Genomic DNA, 23,429 nt, shown 5'->3' with positions numbered 1-23,429 from the left:
GACGGAGTCTTGCTTTGTTGCCCAGCCTGGAGTGCAGTGGCACAATCTCTGCCCACTGCAACCTCCGCCTCCCAGGTTCAAGTGATTCTCCTGCCTCAGCCTCCCTAGTAGCTGGGACTACAGGCGTGCACCACCATGCCCAGCTACATTTTTTTTTTTTGTATTTTTAGTAGAGACAGCGTTTCACCATGTTGCCCAGGCTGGTCTGAAACTCCTGGACTCAAGTGATCCTCCCTCCTCGGTCTCCCAAAGTGCTGGGATTACAGGCGTGAGCCACCGCACCTTGCCCAGATTAGGCATTTCTTAAACTGAAACCTTATCTTTTCCATCAGGGTCCCCCAACCACCGGGATTTGGTGCAGCATGAAGCCACTAGCAGGGCCTTAGTAAATAATCAGGCCGATTGATCAGGCATCCTTACACACTCAACAGCCAGTGGCCAGGGCCTCTCTACACGGTCAGAAACTGGGATCCACAGTAGATCCGGGGCAGACAGGGCTCTTGTTTTTCCCTGGGTTACCTGTTTCCCGCAGTTACCTCTATCCTGGTCACTTCATGGGAGAGATCCTTTATCGTGGAGTCTTGATAGGACTTGATTTGGGTGATTAACTCCAGGAAGACTCGGCCTCGATAAGCTAAACCATCCCTAACAGAGTCGGGAATACACTAGGGCAAGCGAGAGGAAAACGGAGAAAAGGGGTGAGAGAAAAAGAACAGGCCAATCTCCTTTGAAACCCCTGAGGCAAAGACAAGGTTGTCCAGTCACTGCCTGCCCGGGGCTTACTGCAACCACAATCCCGGAGAAGAATTCCAGAAACCTCCACGCCGGGAAACCTCTGGGCATTGAGCCCTCTTCTGCACCCTGGGATCCTGCCTGCCCCATGGAATACCGTGCTCCCACCATGCTTCAGGCTGGGTGGTAACTGTGATTACCACTGAGTTTGCACTACCCGCCTGGCCAATCAGAGCCTGCCCTGCCTCCTTGGCAACTGTGAGCCACGGGGAGCACACATGACCTAAGGAGGACAATTAGAATGCTTCCCTGGCCTTCCCTGCTGGAGGCTGTGTGGTGAGGTTCCCAGCCGGGAAGTCTGACTGAGGCAGGAGGGAATGAGGCAGGGGGGAAGGAGAGTGAGGACCTCCTAGTGGCCTTGAGGACCAATGCCTGTGGTTCTTCCTCAGCATCCTTCCCTGCCTCGTTCCTTCCCAGGGCCTCTTTGCACAGTCAGAAACTGGGATCCACAGTAGATCCGGGCGGACAGGGCTCTTGTTTTTCCCTGGGTTTAAGCCTGTTCGAGTCGGGTTTCTGGCATTTACCGCCATTCCTGAATAACCTCATGCTTCCTCACACTTGCCTGTGCTGTGTCCTCCGTCCTTCGCGCCCTTCCCACCTGCTGAAAATCTTACCATGGTCTCCTCTCAAAGCCCCTTCCTCAGGGAAAGCCCAGAGCTTCCGCTTGCTCCTTTCTTGTGCCCCCACGCCTGTCCCACATGCACGTGGCTGCTCATGGACAGGCTTCACGTCCTCCACAAGACCCCGAGGGACAGAAACCAGGGCCGGGGCCTCGGGGCACGTCCCAGGCCCTAGTGCTTTACATGGGGAAGCTCTACCTCCACTGTACCCTAGAGCTGATGTGAGAAGCTTACAGCGCCTTCTTCCTGGATCCTGAAAGGGGCCTTTTTACCCCCATGCAGAGTCAGGAAGCTGGGGCCAAAGCAGGGCAGGAAGCCGGAGTACACTCCTGGAAGGAGAGAGAGTGAGAAGGGTCGGGCGCAGGACGAGGGGTGTAGGAAGTGGGCTCGAGGCTTTGCTTGCCTTCTATCTCTTCTCCGGTGGACGAGATCTGGTTGAGGGACAGGCTGGCAGTCCCAATCTCATCCGGGCAGTCCTTCTTGCGGCTAGAGAGAAACACACTCCTCAGGCTGAGCCCCCGGCCCAGCTCTCATTTCTTCCTTCCCTGTGTGCTTCAGCCTCCACCAGGTTGCTCACCAGTCCAAGACTCTGAACTTGATGTAGCTGGAGAGGCAGGGTAGCTGTGGAGGGAAGGAGAGAGGTGCGGTGGGTACACATTGGGATGGTCTGGCCCTCGTGGAGATTTTAAGAACAGGTAGGGAGTCGCGGGTCTGGGAGCAAGTCCTGGCTCAGTTACCAGTGAGCCACTTCATCATAGAAAAGCTGGATTTTGAACCAAGCGAATCGAGCTTTGGCTTTAGGGCCTCTTGTTTTCTGGGGGTTTGCTTTGTTTTGTTTCAGACAGGGTGCTGCTCTGTCACCTAGACTGGAGTGCAGTGGCATGATCATAGCTCACTACAGCCTACACCTCTCAGGCTCAAACGATCCTCCCGCCTCAGCCTCCTGAGTAGCTGGGACTACAGGCACCTGCCATCAGGCCCAGGTAATTAAAAACAATTTTTTTTTTTTTGTAGAGACAGGTGCCTTACTATGTTGCCCAAGCTGGTCTCGAACTCCTGGGCAAAAGCAATCCTCCTGCGTAGGGCTCTCAAAATGTTGGGATTAGAGGTGTGAGCCACCTCGCCCAGCTGGGCCTCCCATTTGAATAGGCCCCTTGCAAGGTCCTGAGAGGGGCCTGGAACTTGTCACATGATCGTTTTGTATTTTTGTCTTTAAAATGGCCCTCTGGACAAGCATGGTGGCTCACACCTGTAATCCCAGCACTTTGGGGGGCTGAAGCGGGCAGATCACTTGAGCAGCCTGGGCAACATGATGAAATCCTCTCTCTACAAAAAATACAAAAATTAGCTGGGTGTGGTGGCACTCACCTATAGTCCCAGCTACTCAGGAGGCTGAGGTGGGAGGATTGCTTGAGCCCGTGAGGTTGAGGCTACAGTGAACCATGATCGTGCCACTGCACTCCAACCTGGGTGACAGAGTGAGACCTTGTTTCAAAAAAGAAAAAAAAGTCCCCTAATTGCATAAGCTTCAGGCCCCTCTGACACCTGAGTCTGCCCTGACTGTGGGCTGGTAGATATTACTGTCCTCATACAGCCCCTCGCAGTCTGAATGCACATTCACCAAACCATCTCATGGAGAGGCCGTGGGCCTAGAATGTCTTCATCATGTCTAGCCATCAACTTTTTAAACAGCAGTATATCTGTCTCCTCAAAGAATAAATAATAAACCAGGCATGGTGGCACATGCCTGTAATCCCAGCACTTTGGGAGGCCGAGGCGGGCAGATCACCTGAGGTCAGGAGTTCAAGATCAGCCTGGCCAACATGGAGAAACCCTGTCTCTACTAAAAATACAAAATTAGCCGGGTGTGGTGGCGCATGCCTGTAATCCCAGCTACTCGGGAGGCTGAGGCAGGAGAATCACTTGAACCCGGGAAGAGGAGGTTGCAGTGAGCTGAGATCGTGCCATTGCACTCCAGCCTAGGCAACAAGAGCGAAACTCCGTCTCAAAAAAAAAAAAAAAAAGAATAAATAATAATAGCTGCCTCTTTAGGAGGTTTCTGTTGCCCCTGGCTTGTGCTAAACAAATTCCATAGACCAGCTGAGTGGGCTCTCCTAAAAACCTCATGAACCAGGTGCTATTATTATTCCCATTTTCATATGGGAAAGCTGAGATCAGAGAGGTTGAGTTCCTGAAGTTCTCATGCTACATGCAGTTGCCAAAACCACTCTGCTGTAACCCCTTGAGGACTGTGATTGTCCCTATAAAGAGATGGGGAATCAGGCCTAGAGAGGCAGAGGGACTTGCTCAAGGTCACATAGTAAGGGGTGGAGTCAGGATTCCTACCCAAGCTTCTGTGTCCCATCTCCACTCTGCATTATGGTTTCCTCAATTATTTTTAAAAAGAAAGAAAGAAAAGAGGCCAGATGCGGTGGCTAATGCCTGTAATCCCAGTACTTGGGAGGCTGAAGTGGGAGGATCACTTGAGGCCAGGAGTTCAAGACCAGCCTGGACAACATATTGAGACCCCCATCTCTACCAAAAATACAAAAAATCAGCTGGGCATGGTGGCTCATGCATGTAGTCCCAGCTACTCAGGAGGCTGAGGCACAAGAATTGCTTGAACCCAGGAGGTGGAGGTTGCAGTGAGCTGAGATTGCGTCACTGCAGTCTAGCCTGGGCAACAGAGCAAGACTGTCTAAAAAAAAAAAATAAATAAATAAAAGAAAAAAATCCATGTGTCCATGTGTAAAATAGAGCTGCTGGGTTGAGGCCAGAGTGGGACCCCAAATCCTCAATCCTCTCAGCTGGGGCCTCTTCTCCTTACAGCAGTTCTTGGGATGTGGCTGGGAACCTCCCAGCTTTCCATTTTCTTCATCCCATTCTCCCTGGGTCCTGACAGCTAAGGGGCCAAGGAGAAGAGGAAAGGGCTTTCCAGGTGAGCAGCTAGTCAGTAAGAAAGGAGGAAATTGCCCAGGTTAAGGAAGGACATTGGAAGGGGAGAGATCGGCACCAGAAGGCATCCAGGTCTTCCAAAGTTAGGAGTCCTCCAAGTTCAGATTTATGGCGGAACCACCTTTCCATCCATCCTGCTAATAATTCTCCTCCTGCTTCTTGGTTCCTCATCTAGTGTGCTGCCTCCCCTTCTGCCCTGGGGCCCTCGGACTGACCATTGGTACAGGCCAGTTTTCTGCAGTGCCCTGGGCTCTGCTCCCCTTCTGACCACCTGGCCTCAGATGCTGCCATCTGTGTGGCTGGCTGTTCTGCCTCTTCAGAGAGAGGTTCACACCTGCCTGCTGCATTTCCAAAGGGCTAAAGGCAATCAGGCCAGTATCCAAAGGGCCCCACCCTGGAGACTGTGTTCTGGGGAAAATGGATGAGGTTCCAGGGGTGTTTGAACATCTTCAAATGTTGGAAGGCCTCTCTCAGGGATGAGGGAGGGCCTGGCCTGTGCCATTGGTTCTGAGCCTGTAAGAAGATGAACAGGGCCGGGCATGGTGGCTCACACCTGTAATCCCAGCACTGTAGGAGGCCAAGGCAGGTGGATCACCTGAGGTCAGGTGTTCGAGACCAGCCTGGCCAACATGGTGAAACCTCGTCTCTACTAAAAATATGAAAATTAGCCAGGCTTGGTGGTAGGCACCTGTAGCCCCAGCTACTCATAGCTTAAACCCAGGAGGCAGAAGTTGCAGTGAGCCGAGATCGCGCCATTGCACTCCAGCCTGGGTGACAAGAATGAAACTCTGTCTCAGAAAAAAAAAAAAAAGATGAACAAAGAAGATGAACAGAAGATGAAAAAAGAAGATTTCCCAAGGCTCTGAACAGCCACAGAACATCTGAGGATCCCAGCCCTGTGCCCTCATCACAGGCCGGAAAAGGTGGGAGGGAGCTTGGCAAGGATGGGGGATGGACTAGGCCTCCTCTGAAATGTCTTCCTACTTTCAGAGTCTATAAAATCATCCAAGGAGGCAGGGATTATGAGGAATGGTTGAAAGTGATGACTCACAGGAAGGCAGACTGGGTAGCTACTAGAAGCAGCAAGGAGGGGAGTTCACAGGAGGGAGAAGGGGAGCGCATTAGCTAATTTTGTATTTCACAATGTAAGGTATGAGGAAACAAAACATTCTCTGGGTTGCCAAGTCCATGTCACACAAATTCCTGTGTGCCTGCACTTATGAGAGAGCTCAAGTTATCTCTCAGCTCAAGTTCTCTCTCAGAACTGTGTTCTTATTTTACACACTGCTCTTAGAAGCCTGACTTAGAGTCAAAAGGCCAGTAAGACTCCGCCTTCAAGAGAACTGTCATCCACAACAGCTGATAGGTGACGGAGACAGATTGAAAGGCGATCAAAATCAGACTACAGAACCCCAAAAAGAAAGCATCTCAGAGCCATTTAGTGCAGGAACAAGTAGCCCGGTACTGCAGATAGCCCAGGATAATAACTATGTTCCCATAATGGCTCCAGGCCATCAACAAAAAGCTCTAATTATATTCAGGGCAAAGTTGCTGAGAAGATAAGAAAATGTATATTATCATTTAAAATGTGTCTTTAAAGGGATTTGTTTTGTTTTTATATGTGGGTGAAAGGGCACATTTAAGTTCTCTGGAAAGTTCAGTTGTATGACCCACTCATTGCTTAATACATCTACCATAGAATCTAGTCATTCTGCATCTACATATTTACCTAAGAGAAATGAAAGCATATGTCTATGCTAAGGGTTGTACACAAGTGTTTACAGCTTCATTGTAACAGCCCCAAACCGGAAATGTTCATAAACAAGGAAAGGGATAAGCAAACTGTGGTACATCCATACAATGGAATATTACTTAGCAACAAAAAGGAATAAACCACTGATACACAGCAATGGCATGAATGAATTTCACAATAATTATGCTGAGTGAAAGAAGTCAGACAAATAAGGGTACTTACTGAACGATTCCATTTCTATGAAACACTAGGAAATGCAAGCTAATACGTAGTAACAGAAAGCAGATTGTTGGTTGCCTGGGGATGGGAGGGGGTGGAATAGGAATCACAGGGAGGGATTCCCAAGAGGCATTAGGCAACTTTTGGAGGTGATAGATATATTCATTATGTTGATTGTATGATGGGTTTCCTGGATGTGTACATATTTTAAAATGTATCAAATTGTACATTTCCTTTCTTCCTTCCTTCCTTCCCTCCCCTTCCATCCCTCCTTCCCTCCCTCTCTCCTTCCTCTCTCTCTCTCTCTTTTCTTTTTTCTTTTATATTTTCCTGAGACTGAGTCTCCCTCTGTTGTGCAGGCTGGAGTGCAGTGGCTTGGCTTGGGCAACAGGTTGTTATCACCTACTTAGCTGAAGTGTTTGCTCAAATAAGTAGGTGATACTACCTCGGCTCAGCTCACTGCAACTTCCACCTCCGGGGTTCAAGCAACTCTCCTGCCTCACCCTCCCGAGTAGCTGGAACTACAGGCGCATGTCACCACGCCCGACTAATTTTTATCTTTTTAGTAGAGTCTGGTTTCGCCACTGTTGTCCAGGCTGGTCTCAAACTCTGGAGCTCAAGTGATCTGCCCACGTCAGCCTCCGAAAGTGCTGGGATTACAGGTGTAAGCCACCGTGCCCAGCCAAATTGTACATTTTAAATATCTACAAGTCATACATACCATTGACATAGGTACGTCAATGATAACTCAGTAAGCTGTAAAAGGTAAAGTTTTCCATAATATGTCCTGGGCTTCCTCATGCTCCCTATCAGGCAGAGTCCCCCTTGCCATGCTTTTTGGCCCCCACCCTCTGTCTTCACCCCCACACAATCATCCAAACTTCCCTTCTATGTTAGGGGATGTGGGAGAAGGGTGGGCATGATGGAGGAGCCATACCTGAATCCGGAAGGTCAGGATCTGGTTCCATATCGGGTTGTCGGTTTGGGTCTGCATGTGTGTCCTGAGCTGGAATGTCCCAAAGCAGTGTTGGTGCCAGCCTGCCCCCTCCTCCCTCCACTGACCTCACCTTCCAGCTCTTCCTGTCCAGCCTCCCAGTGGACACCACAGCACAGAGGTGCTTGGGCTAATCCCTGCTCTCAAGACACCTGCACAACTTCTCAGCAGCAACAGCGCCAGTCCTTTGTGTACTTACCCGAGGTGTTTGCCAGATTCAGATTCCTCATATTTTTCCTTAAGTCAGCTTTCAATAGACTTCATTTTTAAATAGATATAAGGCTACTGACCTTACTATATGAGTGTATAGACATATATTTTGCTAGATAAATTCTGAGATCCCAAAAGAAAAATGGGCAAAAACACAGCTAATGGCAGCAGCATGCCTGTTTTAAAACCGTCAGTTGAGTTTATGTGTAAGCAGTGGTATCTGTGGAATCAAGTGTTACTTGGCCTTATTAAACTTTTTAAGGTACACTAAGATGAACACAGAAGTATCAAAATTTTTGAGAACTGCGTGTCACTTACCACCTGAGAACGTTTCACCTAGCTTTGGGGGTACCCAACCACTCACTGGGAAATACTCAGTATGGTGGTTTTAAATATGTTCACAAATTCTTTGGTACTCCTCCCTTCAAAAGATAGACATTATTTTCTCTCCGCTTATGTGTGGGCTGGATTTAACGACTTGCTTGCAACAAATAGAATATGGTAGAAATTCTGCTTGGCAAATATGGAAAATATCTGTTTAACTGTAACCTAGCATTGTCCGAATTTGAACATAGGACCCTTTTTTACCCATGACACCCATCAGCACACTTTGGAAAATGCTATTCCGTATTCATAGAGGTTCATGGAATGTCAGCAACTCTCTTGCCCAGAACCTTCGTTTACACATGAAGAAACTGAGGGGTGGCGACAGTTTCGATGGTGTTCACTCATTGGCATGTTTCATTCACGCACTCATTCTTCCACGTGTATTTGGTTTTTGGGGGGCATCTGGCATGCAGAGAATAAGACGTGGCCTCCGCCTGCACAGAGTTCCAGGTGCAGGGGTGCATACTTCTCTCAGTGGGTGACTGGGAGATGATTCCTGTGGTCTTGCCCACCAGGCCACCCTCCTCTCCAAACTACTTTCTCTAGATGCCAATCTCTCTGGGTCTCAGAATATTTCTACACTTACCTTTTCCCCAATTAGTTCCACCTCCAACTGAGGATTCACTGACTGGTGTTTCTCTATGAACAACAAGTTAAAAGATATCTGAGCCAGCAGCATTTTTCAGGAGGAGGAAATAGGGTGGCGACAGAACAACTGAAAACCCTCCCCTATAATTTAGAGGGGTGCCCCCTGGGCAGACCTGTCTCCAGTTCCCACCATGCCCCTTCTTCTTCCACACAATGGCATGGGGTGGGGGGACATAGGGAGCCTTGAGTTTGCATCTGGCCATCATAGACAGGCTGGGGGTGTGAGACCCGTTTGAAAGGGTGTCCATGGCACCTCCACAGGACAAGTCTGGGAGCAATTCCAGTCTCACCCTGTCCCCCCTACCCCAAACAGTAGTTTAGTGCCAAAAGGAATGAGGAAACTCCATGAGGATCCAGGGTATCACCGTGTAGGGAATCTCAGGGCTGCTCCCTCCCCTGCACCCAGACTCTAACTGAGGTGAAGGTCCTCTGCGCAGTAGATGAAGAGCTGTAAGTAAGCCATGTTGATCGGGACTACCGCTGACTTGAAGATCTGAATATCGGTGTCATCGGTGCCATAGAGCAGCTTTTGATCTATCTGGAGAGACCAGAGAGCTGATATAGTCAAGGTAATGGGGAGGTCACAGGCAAGGACACCAGACTTTGCTTCTCCAACTTCCCACTTGGTGCAGGGGGGATGGGACAACCCTGCAGTGACGCAGCGGACAAAGGAGAGATGTGATGGTCAATATCCAGGGTGAGGCCCAGGGGTGCCCCCAGGAGGCAGCCAGGATAGGAAAGTTTCCGGGGTTAGGGGCAGCTCACCAGGGCCTGGTCTCCCACACCGAGGGCATAGATGGTGACTTTCAGGTAGCCTGTCACACCACTGCCAGGGTTATTTGGCTGGCAGAGGCCTAGCCATTTCCTTAGGAGTGTGTGACCTAGAGAGGCAGAAAGGCCATGGGAGATCTGCCTGCAGCCTCCTTCCTTCTCCCCTGAAACCAGCCTTTGTTTTAGCAGGAGGGGAAGGTGGAAATAGGTCTCAGGCATCCTGCTTTCTATCCAGTGGCAGAGGAAAAGGGGAGTCACTCGTACCACGAAGCAATGATAGCGTGCTCACAAGGCTGCCAGCTGTTGCCTCTAGGAAACAGGGACCCCTGTTTATGCCTTGGGAACCTACTGTTCTCACTGTGGCCTGGTCTGGAACCAGGCACTGTAGAGGCAAGCATTTTCCTCAACCTAGTGTATGTTATAGCCAGGTAAGGTGGAAATTTCCTCTCAAACTTTAATCTTCCAATACTGGCCTCAAAAAATAGAAATCTAACCCAGGATTGTAATATAAGGCTAGCACTTGACCCAAAGGGATGCCCTGAGTTTTTCAGAGAAAAATGCTATTACTATAAATTAAAATAGGCCAGGTGTGGTGGCTCATGCCTATAATCCCAGCACTTTGGGAAGCTGAAGCGGGTGGATCACCTGAGGTCAAGAGTTCGAGACCAGCCTGGCTAACATGGTGAAACCCCATCTCTACTAAAAATAAAAAATTAGCTGGGTGTGGTGGCACATGCCTGTAATCCCAGCTACTTGGGAGGCTGAAGCAGGAGAATTGCTTGAAGCCAGTAGGCAGAGATAGCAGTGAGCCAAGATTGAGCCACTGCACTCCAGCCTGGGCAACAGAGTGAGACTCCATCTCAAAAAATAAAATTAAATTAAAAAATAAGGTAAAATAAAATACCACAATGTACAGTGAAATATTACCAAATACAGAAAATAATTTACAATCTCTAATACTCCCCTCCACCCATGTGTTGGACATATGGGGATTTTAAGATATTCTGACCCTTGGCCTGATTTTTCTCAGAAGACATACATATTTGCCATAAGTATTACCTACCTGGAGAATGGTAGATAAACCCAATATCTGTCTGAAAAGACAACAGTGGGGTGAGGATTAGTTAGGGCCTGCAGCCAAGATTTGTAATACCAACTAACCTGACCCAACTGCTAGCTGTTGGGGCTTCAGTATGTTCTCTGCCCTAACTCCTTTCATCTTTACAGCAGCCTGAGAGGTAGGCCCATTATTACCTCTACTCTGCAGAGGAAGATACTGAGTTTGAGAGAGGTGCCCAAAGTCTTACAACCAGTCAGTGAGAAAGCCTGCATGGAAAAGCTCCTCAACACTGCACTGTGCCACCCTCTCGGCCAAAGCAGCCCAACTCTACCCTACTCCTGGGTCAGGGAAGGGCTCACCGGTCCTGGGGAAGAGGATGGTTAAGGTAAGAGGTAGGAGTTGACAAAGAAACTACGGGTTTTCTCTTTCCCCTTGGAGATAGTTTCTGACACAGAGGTTTGAGGAATGTGGTTCAGGATGGAAGGTGACATATGTGGGGCAAGCTGCCACAGAACATTATGGCCACCCATAATGTGTTCTTAGATACAGCAACACAGCACAACCCATCAAAGAAAAGCTTGATTGGCCGGACGCAGTGGCTCACGCCTGTAATCCCAGCACTTTGGGAGGCTGAGGCAGGCGGATCAAGAGGTCAGGAGATCGAGACCATCCTGGCTAACGCAGTGAAACCTTGTCTCTACTAAAAATACAAAAAATTAGCCGGGCGTGGTGGCGGGCCCCTGTAGTCTCAGCTACTAGGGAGGTTCAGGCAGGAGAATGGTGTGAACCCGGGAGGCGGAACTTGCAATGAGCCGAGATTGCGCCACTGCTCTCCAGCCTGGGCGACAGAGCGAGACTCTGTCTCGAAAGAAAGAAAGAAAGAAAGAAAGAAAGAAAGAAAGAAAGAAAGAAAGAAAGAAAGAAAGAAAGAAAGAAAGAAAGAAAGAAAGAAAGAAAGAAAGAAAGAAAGAAAGAAAGAAAGAAAGAAAGAAAGAAAGAAAGAAAGAAAGAAGGAAGGAAGGAAGGAAGGAAGGAAGGAAGGAAGGAAGGAAGGAAGGAAGGAAGGAAGGAAGGAAGGAAGGAAAGCTTGATAAATTGGACTTCATCAAAATGAAAAAGTCTGCTTTTGAAAGACACTGTTAAGAAAATGACAGTGGCTCACGCCTGTAATCCCAGCACTTTGGGAGGCTGAGGCAGGCGGATCACGAGGTCAGGAGATCGAGACCATCCTGGCTAACACGGTGAAATCCCGTCTCTACTGAAAATACAAAAAATATTAGCCGGGTGTGGTGGTGGGCGCCTGTAGGAGGCTGAGGCAGGAGAATGGCATGAACCCAGGGGGTGGAGCTTGCAGTGAGCGGAGATCACACCACTGCACTCCAGCCTGGGTGACAGAGAGAGACTCCGTCCCAAAAAAACAAAAACAAAAACAAAAACAAAACAGAAAATGAATGGGCTGTCATCCTCTGGAAGAAAATATTTGCAAATCATATATCAATAGTTAGAAAACAAACAATCCAAGGAAAACAAACTAAAGATTTGAACAGTCACTTCACCAAAGAAGATATACAGATGACAGGCACATGAAAAGATGCTCAACATCGTTAGTCGTTAGGAAGGTTTAAATTACAATCACAGTGAAATATTACTACACACCATTAGAATGGCTAAAATAAAAAAGATGGACTAGATCAAGTATTGTGGAGAATGTGGGGCAACTGAAACTCTAATACACTACTGGTGGGCATGTACAGTGGCAGAACCTGTTTGGAATTTTGGAAAAAAAACTTTTAGAAATTTTCCTTAAAAAGTTTAACATACACGTCCGGGTGCAGTGGCTCACACCTGTAATCCCAGCACTTTGGGAGGCCGAGGCGGGCTAATACAAAAATTAGCCAGACATGGTGGCGTGCACCTGTAATCCCAGCTACTCGGGAGGCTGAGGCAGGAGAATCACTTGAACCCGGGAGGCAGAGGCTGCAGTGAGCTGAGATCGCGCCACTGCACTCCAACCTTGATGACAGAGCAAGACTCTGTCTCAAAAAAAAAAAAAAAAGTTGGCCAGGTGCGTTGGCTCACGCATGTAATCCCAGCACTTTGGGAGGCCAAGGTGGGCCGCTCACAAGGTCAGGAGTTCAAGACCAGCCTGGCCAACATGGTGAAAACCTGTCTCTACTAAAAATACGAAAATTAGCCCACACGTAGTAGCAGGTGCCTGTAATCCCAGCTACTCGGGAGTCTGAGGCAGGAAAATCATGTGAACCCAGGAGGGGGAGGTTGCAGTGAGCCGAGATCACGCCATTGCACTCCAGCCTGGGCAACAGGGCAAGACTCCATCTCAAAAAAAAAAAAAAGAAAGTTAAACATATACCACATATACCTACCATATGATTTAGTCATTCTGCTTCTACATATTTTCCCAAGAGAAATTAAAACTTCCACACTCAGATTTGTACACAAATGTTTACACGGCCCCAATATAGCAGCCTCAGACTGGAAGCAATCTAAATGTCCATTAACAAGGGAATGGATAATTAAACTATAGTACATCCATATGCTGGACTATTACTCAGCAATAAAAAGGAATGAACTGCTGACAAGTGCAACAACATGGATGAATCTCAGAACAGCAATGCTGAGGGAAAGAAAGCAGACACAAAAGGATAGAGAATGTATGATTCTATTGATATGAACTCTAGGAAATACTTATCTATTAATAAGAACTCTAGGAAAGAAATGTTCATATAATAACAGAAAGCAGATCAGTGGTTGTCTGCGGATGGAGGGGGTGGGATGGGAATGAGACGGAGTGATTCCCAAGGTCCATCAGACAACTTTTGGAGGTGACAGATGTGATGAGTATATTCATTATCTTAATTGTGATGATGTTTTCTTCTGGGTGTGCACATATTTTTAATATATCAAATTGTACATTTTAAATATGTACCATTAATTGTATGTCAATGACACCTCAATAAAACCATAACATAAAAAAAACAGGGCAAGGCATGGTGGCTCATGCCTGTAATCCCAGCACTTTGGGAGGCTGAGGCGGGCGGATCACTTGAAGCCAGGAGTTTGAGACCAGCCTGGCCGACATGGTGAAACCCCATCTCCACTAAAAATACAAAAATTCGCTGGGCATGGTGGCACGTGCCTGTGGTTCCAGCTATCCTGGGGGGCTTAGGCATGAGAATTGCTTGAACCTGGGAGGCAGAGGATGCATGAGCCAAGATCGTGCCACAGCATTCAAGCCTGGGTGACAGAGCAAGACTCTGTCTCAAAAAAAACTATATATATATATATATAAATTAAAAAATAAAAATAAAAAAACAGAATAGAAATTCAGTCACTCCCAATGAAGCAACAGATCCAGGCAATGATCATCATTAGCTGTTAACAACATAAAATGAGAGACCAGCAGACATTCTGTGCCTTCTGCTAAAGTCACTTTGCCAACAAATTGGTTCAGACTAATCTAAACTCTAGATAGGGAAATGGGGTGGGGGAATGCAAAATGATTCCCTGAAGATGAAATCAGCAAAACCCAGACCAGAGAAAACACTACAGGTCCAACTACCCAGTTTCCTTAACAAATAAGTTGCAAATTAAAAAAAAAAAAAAAAGAGGAAGTGGGGGAGCAGAGAGGACCAACAGAATAAAAGGAAACTAAAATGCATATTAACCACTTGCAATGAGTGGACCTGGTTTAGAATCCTGATTTGTTTTTTGTTTTTGTTTTTTTGAGACAGAGTCTCTCTCTTTTGCTCAGACTGGAGTGCAGTGGCAAAATCTTGGCTCACTGCAACCTCTACCATCTGGGTTCAAATGATTCACCTGCCTCAGCCTCATGAGTAGCTGGGATTACAGGCATGTGCCACCACACCCAGCTAATTTCTGTATTTTTAGTAGAGATGGCCATGTTGGCCAGACTGGTCTTGAACTCCTGACTTCAGGTGATCCGCCTGCCTTGACCTCCCAAAGTGCTGGGATTACAGGCGTGAGCCACCGTTCCCAGCCTGGAATCCTTATTTGAAAAACTGTAAAAGAAATATGTAAAACAATTAGGGGAATTTGAACATTGACTAGGTATTTAATGCTACCTAGGAATTATAAAAGTTTTTAGATGTGATAATTGTATGTGGCTATGCTTAATAAAATCCTTATGTTTTTGCAATACATACTGAAATGTAGAAAGATAAAATGATGTGATGCTTGAGATTTGATTCAAAATAATCCAGCGGTGAAGGCGAAGGGGGCTAGGTGTAGGTAAAACACAATTGACTGTGAATTGATGAAGATGAGTGATGAGGATATGGGAGTTCATGATACCAAAATAAAAAGAAATAAAAAAATAAGCTCGGCTGGGTGTGGTGGACACACGCCTGTAATCCCAGCACTTTGGAAGGCTGAGGTGGGAGGACGGCTTAAGCCCAGGAGTTCTAGACTAGCCTGGGTAACATAGTGAGACCCATTCGCTACAAAAAATTTTTAAAAATTAGCCAGGTGCAGTGGTGCACACCTGTAGTCCAAGCTACTCGGGAGGCTGAGGTGGGAGGATTGCTTGAGCCCAGGAGTTCAAGGCTGCAGTGAGCCGGGATTGCACCACTGCAATCCAGCCTGGGTGACAAAGCAAGATCACGTCTCAAAAAAAAAGAAGAAGCTTGGTTAAACTCAGGTTTTCTCTGACCTCTATAACTTAGCTTATGTCATTGGTCACTGTCTAGAAATCATGCGGTGGCCTTTGTCAAGAGCACAACATTTTTCACCTCCTACCATCTAACATTTCTAGAATCTCTGTCTCTCTATGTTTTTTTCCAAGGGTGGTGCCCGTTTCCTAACATTGTAGATTTAGTAAACAAAAACAGAAGATGCCCACTTAAATTAAAATTTCAGATGAACAATGACTACTTTCTTAATACACATACGTCCCCTGCAATATTTGGTGAGAAGCCATGTAATATTTGGGACATACTTATATTTAAAATGTATTTTTTGTTTATCTAAGATTAAATGTAACCAGGCATCCTGTATTTAACCTAGCAACCTACCTTTTCCTGATCTTTTTGGATTTGGAGAATCTTAGTTTAGCCCATCATGACTGTAAACTCTCCTAATCTCTCAGCCTGTCTTCCCAAATCACATCTTTTCACTCTGTCCTCACAGGCAGCAATATTTCTCTGAGTTTCCCTAACATGTAGGCTGACCTTTTGGATCCTCTGCTTCTACTTCCTGGAGGCAGAGATTTGAACTGTGTCCACAGTATCATGGGAGTGTGGAATTCAACATGGCGCCCTGAGCTTTCATAAACGTTATATATACTTTAATCCTCACAATCACCCCCCAGATCGAGTATATTATCATCTCCCTTTTAAAGATGAGGAAGTAGAGGTTCAGAATAACTTGTTTAAGTCACCCAGTTGGTAGGTGGATACAAGCCTGGATCTTTCTTCTTCTTTTTTTTTTTTTTTTTTTTGAGATGGAGTCTCACCCTGTCGCCCAGGCTGGAGTGCAGTGGTGCGGTCTCGGCTCACTGCAAGCTCCGCCTCCTGGGTTCAAGCAATTCTCCTGCCTCAGCCTCCTGAGTAGCTGGGACTACAGGCACCCGCCACCTCACCCCGCTAATTTTTTGTATTTCTAGTAGAGACAGGGTTTCACTGTGTTAGCCACGATGGTCTCGATCTCCTGACCTCGTGATCCACCGGCCTCGGCCTCCCAAAGTGCTGGGATTACAGGTGCGAGCCACTGCACCCGGCCAAGTCTGGATCTTTCTGTGTGAAAATCCAAGTCCTTTTCCCTAGACTTGGGCATGGAGCCCAGCATGGGTCTCTGTTTTAATAACTGTTTCACTGAACCTCCTCCCATGTACAGTACTCACTTGAAATCTCCCGATCTCTGCTTTGTATCTCATTGCTGAGGAGTTCACCACCTGCAAGGGAGTTCCCAGAAATATTTTAATTATTCACAATCCCAATTTCCCTCAGCCCCTGTAAGAGGTATAGCAAAGGCACAACCAGGATCCTCCTGACGTATTGAATGCTTCCTAATGGGGCAGACACTTGCACATGGGTGTTCTCATTTCACTCTCAGAGGAACCCTGTGAGGTTCAGATTTTTAATTCCATTTTACTGATGAGGAAATTGATCAGAGAGGTCAATTTCCTTGCCCCAAGTCAACACAAAGCAAGGTGTTGCACTCAACGTTATCCATTACATGCTCTCCTGGTTGTTTCCTCTGTGCCTTTGTTCCCAAGAACAGTAAATTCTTCAAAGGAAGAGGCCTCTTTGTTCTCCTTAGCCCTGTGCTGGGCACATAGTAGGCACCTGATAACCACATGTTCCACATTGTTACTGGCTCCCTTTGGTTAGGGAATGGAGTATTCTACTTGGAGGGGCCTTTGGTGGCTTGAAAATCCTGGCACATGGGAAGGGGCTGCCTTGTTCACCTTGGCGCCCAGTTCAGGGCCTGGCAGTTGGCAATCCACAACATTTGTTGAATAAATGAGTAAATGAATGAATAATCTGGGTGCCAGGGGGTGAAGAAAGTGGTGGGGATCAGGAAGACAATCTGAAGTGCCCCTGGCTCTAAGGGTGGGGGCTGGAGCTGTAGTGCTTCCCAGTATTGAAGTGGGACAAGAAACCCACCTTGCTGGGGACCAGTTTGGCTCCTCACCTGGATTAAGATGGTCTCATCAAAGAACTTTGCAGGAACCTCATGAAAATTCTGGAAGAAGATCTGAGGCAAAGAGAATTGGGGTAGAGTGGATGATTTCTTCCGCCACTTCACCCAAGCACTCAGTAAACCTGAAAGCTCAGAATAATGTGCTTCTTTCCACAACTTTACCCATTTCAATGGGTTTACAAGTACAGGCTGAGTATTCCTAATCCAAAAATCTGAAATAAAAAATGCTCCAAAATCTGAAACTTTCTGAGTGCCAACATGACCCTCAAAGGAAATGCTCACTGGAGCATTCTGGGTTTCAGATTTTCATTATTACGAATGCTGAACTGGTACAATGCAAATATTCCAGATTCCCAAAAAAAATCTGAAATCCAAAACACTTCTGATACCATGCATTTTGGGTAAGGGATACTCAACTTGTGCCACTTCTCTCATGCTCCCCCAGAAGCAGAGGCCTCCCGGGCTCCTAGAGGGTTTCCTATTTTTAGGCGGAGTCTCGCTCTGTCACCTAGGCTGGAGTGTGGTGGTGCAATCTCAACTCACTGCAACCTCGGGTTCAAACGATTCTCCTGCCTCAGCCTCCTGAGTAGATGGGATTACAGGCACCTGCCACTGCATGTGGCTAATTTTTGTATTTTTACAAAAGAGACAGGGTTTCACCATATTGGTCAGGATGGTTTCGAACTCCGGACCTCAGGTGATCCACTCACCACGGTCTCCCAAAGTTCTGGAATTACAGGCATGAGCCACCAAGCCCAGCCTCCTGGAGGGTTTTCTGCCCAGAATGGGGAATGGTAGGAGATTCCTGGAGAACTCAGGGCCCAGCTAGCTGCCCAGGATGGAGATTTGAGCCCACACCTCCTTCTAGGTTGCCCTGCCAGTCCACTCTGTCCCTGCTCCCCGTGGCAGCCAGAAACTTCTTTCCCAAATGCAAACCTAGGCCTGTCACTCCTCTGCTTAAGTCCTCCATGGCTCCTGAGTAGTGTCCAGGATGGGACCCCAGCCCACACTGTAGGCTCCCCTCCAGCCAGTCTCCTCCAGCCACACCCATAGCTATAGTTCTGCTGTCAAGTCTGCGGCTTGCTTGGTTCCAGGCCTTTGAAAACACCATGACTTTTTCCTGAATTATCTTTTCCCATCCTGTCTGTCTTTCCCTGGTAAAATCTTCCTTCAGGGTTGCTGGAGCCCTTCTGAGTCCTCTCCGCCACCCCCAGCCTCATTACTCACTTACTCCTTCCAGCTTCCACTGTGCTTTTATCTTTTATTTGTTCATTTACTAATTAATTCAACAAGTATTTATGGAGCACCTACTGTGTATCAGGCACAGTGCTACAATTTGGGGCTCCAGCAGCAATGAGACATACATGGTCTGGGTCTGTGCTTCGAACCTCCAATAGCAATACTCCCAGACCTCTGTAAACCAGGATCTGCTCTGTTGTAATTGTTTACGGATTCATGAGTTGTGCCCCCACCAGCCCACCAGCTCCTCAGATACAGGGCTCTGAGTTATACTGTTCTGTATTTTCAGTGCTTGGCCCTCAGTAGACACTCAGTAAATGCTTGTGGAACAAACACATGAAGACACCCTAGTCAAGGAGCAAGCTTGCCGGCTGCCCACCGGGGATGCCCAGCCCTTGGCTGGCTCCTTGCCTGATGTGCCCCGTTCAGCCCACCTCATTAAAGAAAGGGTTGTTTCCCATCTTGATGCGTGTCTGGTGCTGCTGGCCTGCGATGGACACCTTCACCACTGGTTTGATGTTGTTGCCCATGAGCTGTCGGGCTTCAAACACCTTCACTCGAACCTAAGGGCGGAACACATGGGGAGCTGATATTGAGGGCCTTCTGTAGCTGGGACAACATTGTTCTGATAAGAAAACATTCTAGGCCAGGTGCAATGAGTGGCTCATGCCTGTAATCCCAGCACTTTGGGAGGCCGAGGTGGGAGAATCGCTTGAGCCCAGGAGTTCGAGACCAGATTGACTGGGCAACATGGCAAAACCCCGTCTCTACAAAAATTACAAAAAAATTAGCTGAGCTTGGTGGTGCATGCCTGTAATCCCAGCTACTCAGGAGGCTGAGGTGGGAGGATCACCTGAGCCCAGAGGTCTAGACTGTAGTGAGCTGTGATCGTGCCACTGCACTCCAGCCTGGGCAACAGAGCAAGACTCCATCTCAAAAAAGAGAAGAAAGACAGAAAGAAAGAAAGAAGGGAGGGAGGGAGGGACGGAGGAAGGAAAAGAAAGAAAGAAAGAAGGGAGGGAGGAAGGAAGGAAAAGAAAGAAAGAAAGAAGGGAGGGAGGAAGGAAAAGAAAGGAAAGAAGGAAGGAAGGAAAGAAAGAAAAAGAAAGAAAGAAGGAAAGAAAGAAAGAGAGAAAGAAGGAAGGAAGGAAAGAAGAAAGAAAGAAAGAAAGAAAGAAAGAAAGAAAGAAAGAAAGAAAGAAAGAAAGAAAGAAAGAGAAAGAAAGAAAGAAAGTTGTAGCCCTAGCCACAGTGGAGACAGACAATCCACTGGGAGAAGGCTAGGAGGAGATGGACTTGGAGACACAGGCTTGAGTTATCAAGGGCCCGGGAAGCCATTGCAAAAGGAACTGGATCTTGTGATCTTGTGTGGAAGACACTGGGGCTTTTGAAGAAGGTGCTTGGCATGATAAGAGTGACATCTTTGAAAGGACACTTTGGTTGGAGAATGGACAGGAGAGAGCTGGAGGCTGGGGGGTTCAGGAGAAGCCTTCTGATGTGGTCCAGGGAAGAGGTGGTGGTGGCTCAGGCCAGGGAACAGAAGTGGCGAGGGGGAAATGGGAGCAGTGGGTGACGTTAAGAGCTAGGACTTGGCCACTGCTTGGGTGCAGGAAGAGGAGTGGTCCAGGAGACTCCCAGCTGCTGCGCGAGGAGCAGGCTGGGGAGCAGGTAAAACCACGGCAGGAATGTTAGGCCACGGGCTAGAAGCCAGAGGGAAGTTGATAAGCCATGGGATGAGGGTTCCTGAATTCACATGGAAATGTGGACCTTTCCATAGGTCCCCTCAGATCAGACACTCCCCAGCCTCTCCTGTACAGTTAATTTAACTTTGCCTGTGCCCCACTTTGTTTTGCCAACAACCTGAGGACTCTGAGAGGGCAGGATCTCTCTCATCTGCGCTGCTTCCCCAGCAGGTACCAGGGCCTGCCAGTGCACAGCTGGCTCTCCTACTACCTCACTGGAGCTCTGTGGCTTCAGCTACAGGCAGAAGTTTCCAGAACGGCCATGGGAGGAGCAGGGCATGTGGCAAGGATCTGAGGGCCAGAAGCTGGGTCTGAAGCTCTGCCCTTCTACCATGACCTTGGGGAGGGGTGAGGTGGCCTGGGAACACAGCAAACAAGAGTGTCAGGTGAGTCCCATGAACTTGCAACCTGGAAGGTCCTCACCTGAAAGTGCTGAGGCTTTGAGGACAGAGCCCTGTGCGCAGTGGAGCCAGGGACCATCAGTTTCTGACTGGCTGCCTCTCTTGCCGTTATGCCCAGGTGGTCTTCAGCTCCTGGGGAGACACAGTGCAGGGTGGGGTCAGAGGCCTGGGGCCCAGGAGGTTTGAGGTATTTTCCCCATTCCATCATTCTGTCCCCAGTGACCATCTCCTGACTAAAAGCATGGCCAAGAGGCCCCAACAGTGACATATGTCCTCCCCAGAACATTACCATGGGCCCCTTCATGCTCAGGAACTATGGATCCCTGGACCCTGCTCCACACACTGGGGCTCTTGGAGATGACCATCCTTGTCTCTCTGCAGCCCCTTGGAGACTTATGTCTTATATCTCATGGGTCTTATGTCTAGAGATGACAAATAGGCATATTGGGATGGCCTCAGCCAGATGTCTGGAGATCTGGCATCTAGACCCTGTAGCTTCCAGGGACCCTAGCCTGGTCACATTCCTTCTGTAGGCCTCAAGGGCTGGGTTTTGAAGGTCCCCAAGAACCCATCCAGCTGTGCATGCAGAAAGGCAGGGTAGGCCCTTAAGGGTAAGCTCCAGGGAAGGACATACCTGTCTTCTCAATATCCTGGTTGCTCATGTGGGCCACCTGTAGGGTGACAGTACACTGCAAGACAAAGGCAAGGGAGCTGTAAGCCAGACCCTGCCATCCTTGGACACAGCACCCAAGCCCTGCACAGCCTGGTTGGGTTCACACCTGGTCCTCCTGGTGGGGGCCGTGATGCTAGTCATGGGATGGGGCCACACCATGGGCATCTGCACAGTCTGGGTGAGGGAGGTTATAAATGGGTGAGGAGAGAGCAATGGGTTACAGTGGAGGGGATGTTTGTAGATTAAAGCAGCCACATGGTGGTGATGGTGGCAGAAAAGGATGCAGGAGGGTGGGGAGGAGAGGGAGAGGTGACTTGAGCCCAGAACACAGATGCTAGCAGCTCTTCCCCTAGCCCAACATCTCATGAACTCATGTGGGAGGCCCTGCACACTCCTCCCTTCTAACTGAGCTCCTTCCTTCATATGCTCCCATTACCATCCCAGCCTCCAGACCATCACCAGGATGGCCCCCTGAACACCCCAAGTGTCTAAATGATCAAAGTTAAGTCACAATTCACCAGCGTGGACCACAAGGCCCTTGACCTCTAGCCCTTGGTCACTTATGCAACCTAAGCTCTCCCACCTCCACCCCACCCCCCCACCGTGTGACAAAAGTGCAGTACACCCTCCCTCACCCTGCCTCCTGCTCCACCCACTTTATGCCCCTGCCTGGGCTGGTCTTCCACTCCTGTCCATTGGGAAAACTCAAGCCTCTTCTTACAACTCAACTGACAGACTGAATGTGCCTTGACTTTATGATGGGATCACATCCCGATAAACGCATTGTAAGTCAACAATATTGTGTGTCCATCCATTGTAAGTCACAGACTGTCTGCATACAAATGGACAATGGCCAAACCACATAGAAAATAAGACTCAGATCCACCATCTGCAGCAACCAGCCCAGGGAACCAACCTGTTATCTACAGTAACCAGCCCAGGAAGCCAGCCTGCTCTAAGTCAGACTTGTAGGAGGTCAGACTGCTGTCTCTAGCAATAATCCAGGAAGCCAAACAATAACAATCAGCTCCAAATGGCCAGGCCTTGATTAATAACTGGCAGCTGCCTTAATTTTTGTCCCCACTTCCAACTTAGGACCAACCAGAGAGAGCCAAACATGCCCCTCTAACCAATCACATGGGAGGCCCGCCTTGGGCTCCCCCGTAGCCTCCAATCAGGGCACATCTGCAGCCTTCCCTTCTTTCCACTGTGAAGCTCTCCCGCTCCCCTGGCTGCCTCTGAGTCTCTGCCAAAACACAAATGACGATGACCGAGTCCCTTGCTAGCACAAGCTCTGAAAAAATAGCCTTTGCTTGTTCTCATTTGGATGGTCTCCCTACATTTCCAATGTCTTAAACATCACCCCCTCTGTAAATCTGTCCATGACCTCCTGAGACAAATTGTTCACTCCCTCCTGACCTGAGCCAGTGGCCTTGCTTTACTGAACCTTGTCTCACGGGTGCTGGAGCGCCTGTCACTGTGAGTGGAGCCTACTCCAACAGACCATGGGCTTAAGGCAATTTTGTACCACAGGGCCTGGCACAGTGGTTGACTCCCAATGCAAGGCGGTCAATTCATCTAAATAGATGCGTTGGGGAGGGGGGCGCAGATGATGGCAAGGGAGGTGGTCAGGAGAGGAAGGCAGTGTGATGGGGCCCCCCAAGCAGGAAGCACTCTTGTGGTGTGGGCCGCTTCACCAGCTCCCCTCATTCCTCCAGCCACCCTGCCTGGGCCTTCCTGGGCCTGACTCACATCTGTGGGCTTCATGGAATGGTTGAGCAGGGTCAAGTCCTTCACAAAAAGGACCTCACTTGGTTGTTTCAACAATGGCTTGAGCAGTACTGTGGCCAGGCCAATGAATCTGGGGAGACAAGGAGCAGATGTGAGATCCTGAGCCAGGGGAAAGAGTGTCCTCTTCTCTCCCGGGCAGGGCTTTAGCTAGAGACGGTTTCCTCCCAGGGCTGTGCTGTCCTCAGAGAGAGGCTGGAGAAGAATGCAGTGGGGCTGGGTATCCATGACAGGGCACAGGGCTTCTGGCTCTGAGAACTGTCTTGGGGCTCCGAGGCAAGTAACAGTTGATTGGACCAGGGATGGACACCTGGCTAGAGCTGGGCCAATAGGATTCTCTGTCTTAGGAATTTTGACCTGGGATGGCATAGCCTCAGTCTCAGGGCATGTGAGTCTCAGCTGGGCACTAGATGAGGCTGTGATAAGAAGCCGGGGTTGGGCAGAGAGAAGCAGAAATTTGAGATACGTGGCTTCAGATGGACAGAGCTGCTGCTGG

The 23,429-nt window shown here is 48.5% G+C and overlaps 1 protein-coding gene across 18 annotated transcripts in view, besides 2 other annotated features; it reads right to left on the bottom strand.

Moving 5' to 3' along the window:
* The window catches only part of FER1L5 (fer-1 like family member 5), a 62,120-nt gene that overhangs the window by 34,100 nt on the left and 4,591 nt on the right, over nt 1–23,429 (bottom strand). For 15 of the 18 annotated variants that reach the window (XM_011512110.3, XM_011512122.3, NM_001293083.2 and 12 more), the window contains 15 exons: nt 22,898–23,006; nt 21,107–21,161; nt 20,495–20,604; nt 18,764–18,892; nt 17,082–17,144; nt 16,288–16,338; nt 10,413–10,443; nt 9,344–9,459; nt 8,993–9,116; nt 8,517–8,569; nt 7,277–7,345; nt 1,990–2,033; nt 1,816–1,898; nt 1,647–1,741; nt 537–665 (listed from right to left, as the gene is read on the bottom strand). In XM_011512110.3, coding sequence (XP_011510412.1) covers nt 537–665; nt 1,647–1,741; nt 1,816–1,898; nt 1,990–2,033; nt 7,277–7,345; nt 8,517–8,569; nt 8,993–9,116; nt 9,344–9,459; nt 10,413–10,443; nt 16,288–16,338; nt 17,082–17,144; nt 18,764–18,892; nt 20,495–20,604; nt 21,107–21,161; nt 22,898–23,006 — 1,261 coding nt within the window. Of the gene's footprint in view, nt 1–536; nt 1,619–1,646; nt 1,742–1,815; nt 1,899–1,989; nt 2,034–7,276; nt 7,346–8,516; nt 8,570–8,992; nt 9,117–9,343; nt 9,460–10,412; nt 10,444–16,287; nt 16,339–17,081; nt 17,145–18,763; nt 18,893–20,494; nt 20,605–21,106; nt 21,162–22,897; nt 23,007–23,429 lie in introns of those variants that run through there. The other 3 variants (XM_011512115.3, XM_011512118.3, XM_011512124.3) reach the window with 3 other exon arrangements.
* Nucleotides 8,720–9,220: an enhancer, noted in NCBI's record as "H3K27ac hESC enhancer chr2:97327301-97327801 (GRCh37/hg19 assembly coordinates)". NCBI's record gives its function as "activates a minimal SCP1, AML or CMV promoter by ChIP-STARR-seq in naive H9 embryonic stem cells {active_cell/tissue: H9 hESC(naive)}" and the evidence as "EXISTENCE:reporter gene assay evidence [ECO:0000049][PMID:30033119]".
* Nucleotides 9,221–9,721: an enhancer, noted in NCBI's record as "H3K27ac hESC enhancer chr2:97326800-97327300 (GRCh37/hg19 assembly coordinates)". NCBI's record gives its function as "activates a minimal SCP1, AML or CMV promoter by ChIP-STARR-seq in naive H9 embryonic stem cells {active_cell/tissue: H9 hESC(naive)}" and the evidence as "EXISTENCE:reporter gene assay evidence [ECO:0000049][PMID:30033119]".

Source organism: Homo sapiens, chromosome 2 (assembly GCF_000001405.40).
Source record: "Homo sapiens chromosome 2, GRCh38.p14 Primary Assembly".
NCBI lineage: Eukaryota > Metazoa > Chordata > Mammalia > Primates > Hominidae > Homo > Homo sapiens.
The sequence above is the reverse complement of the archived record's forward strand: the minus strand, read 5'-3'. Positions and strand labels throughout refer to the sequence as shown.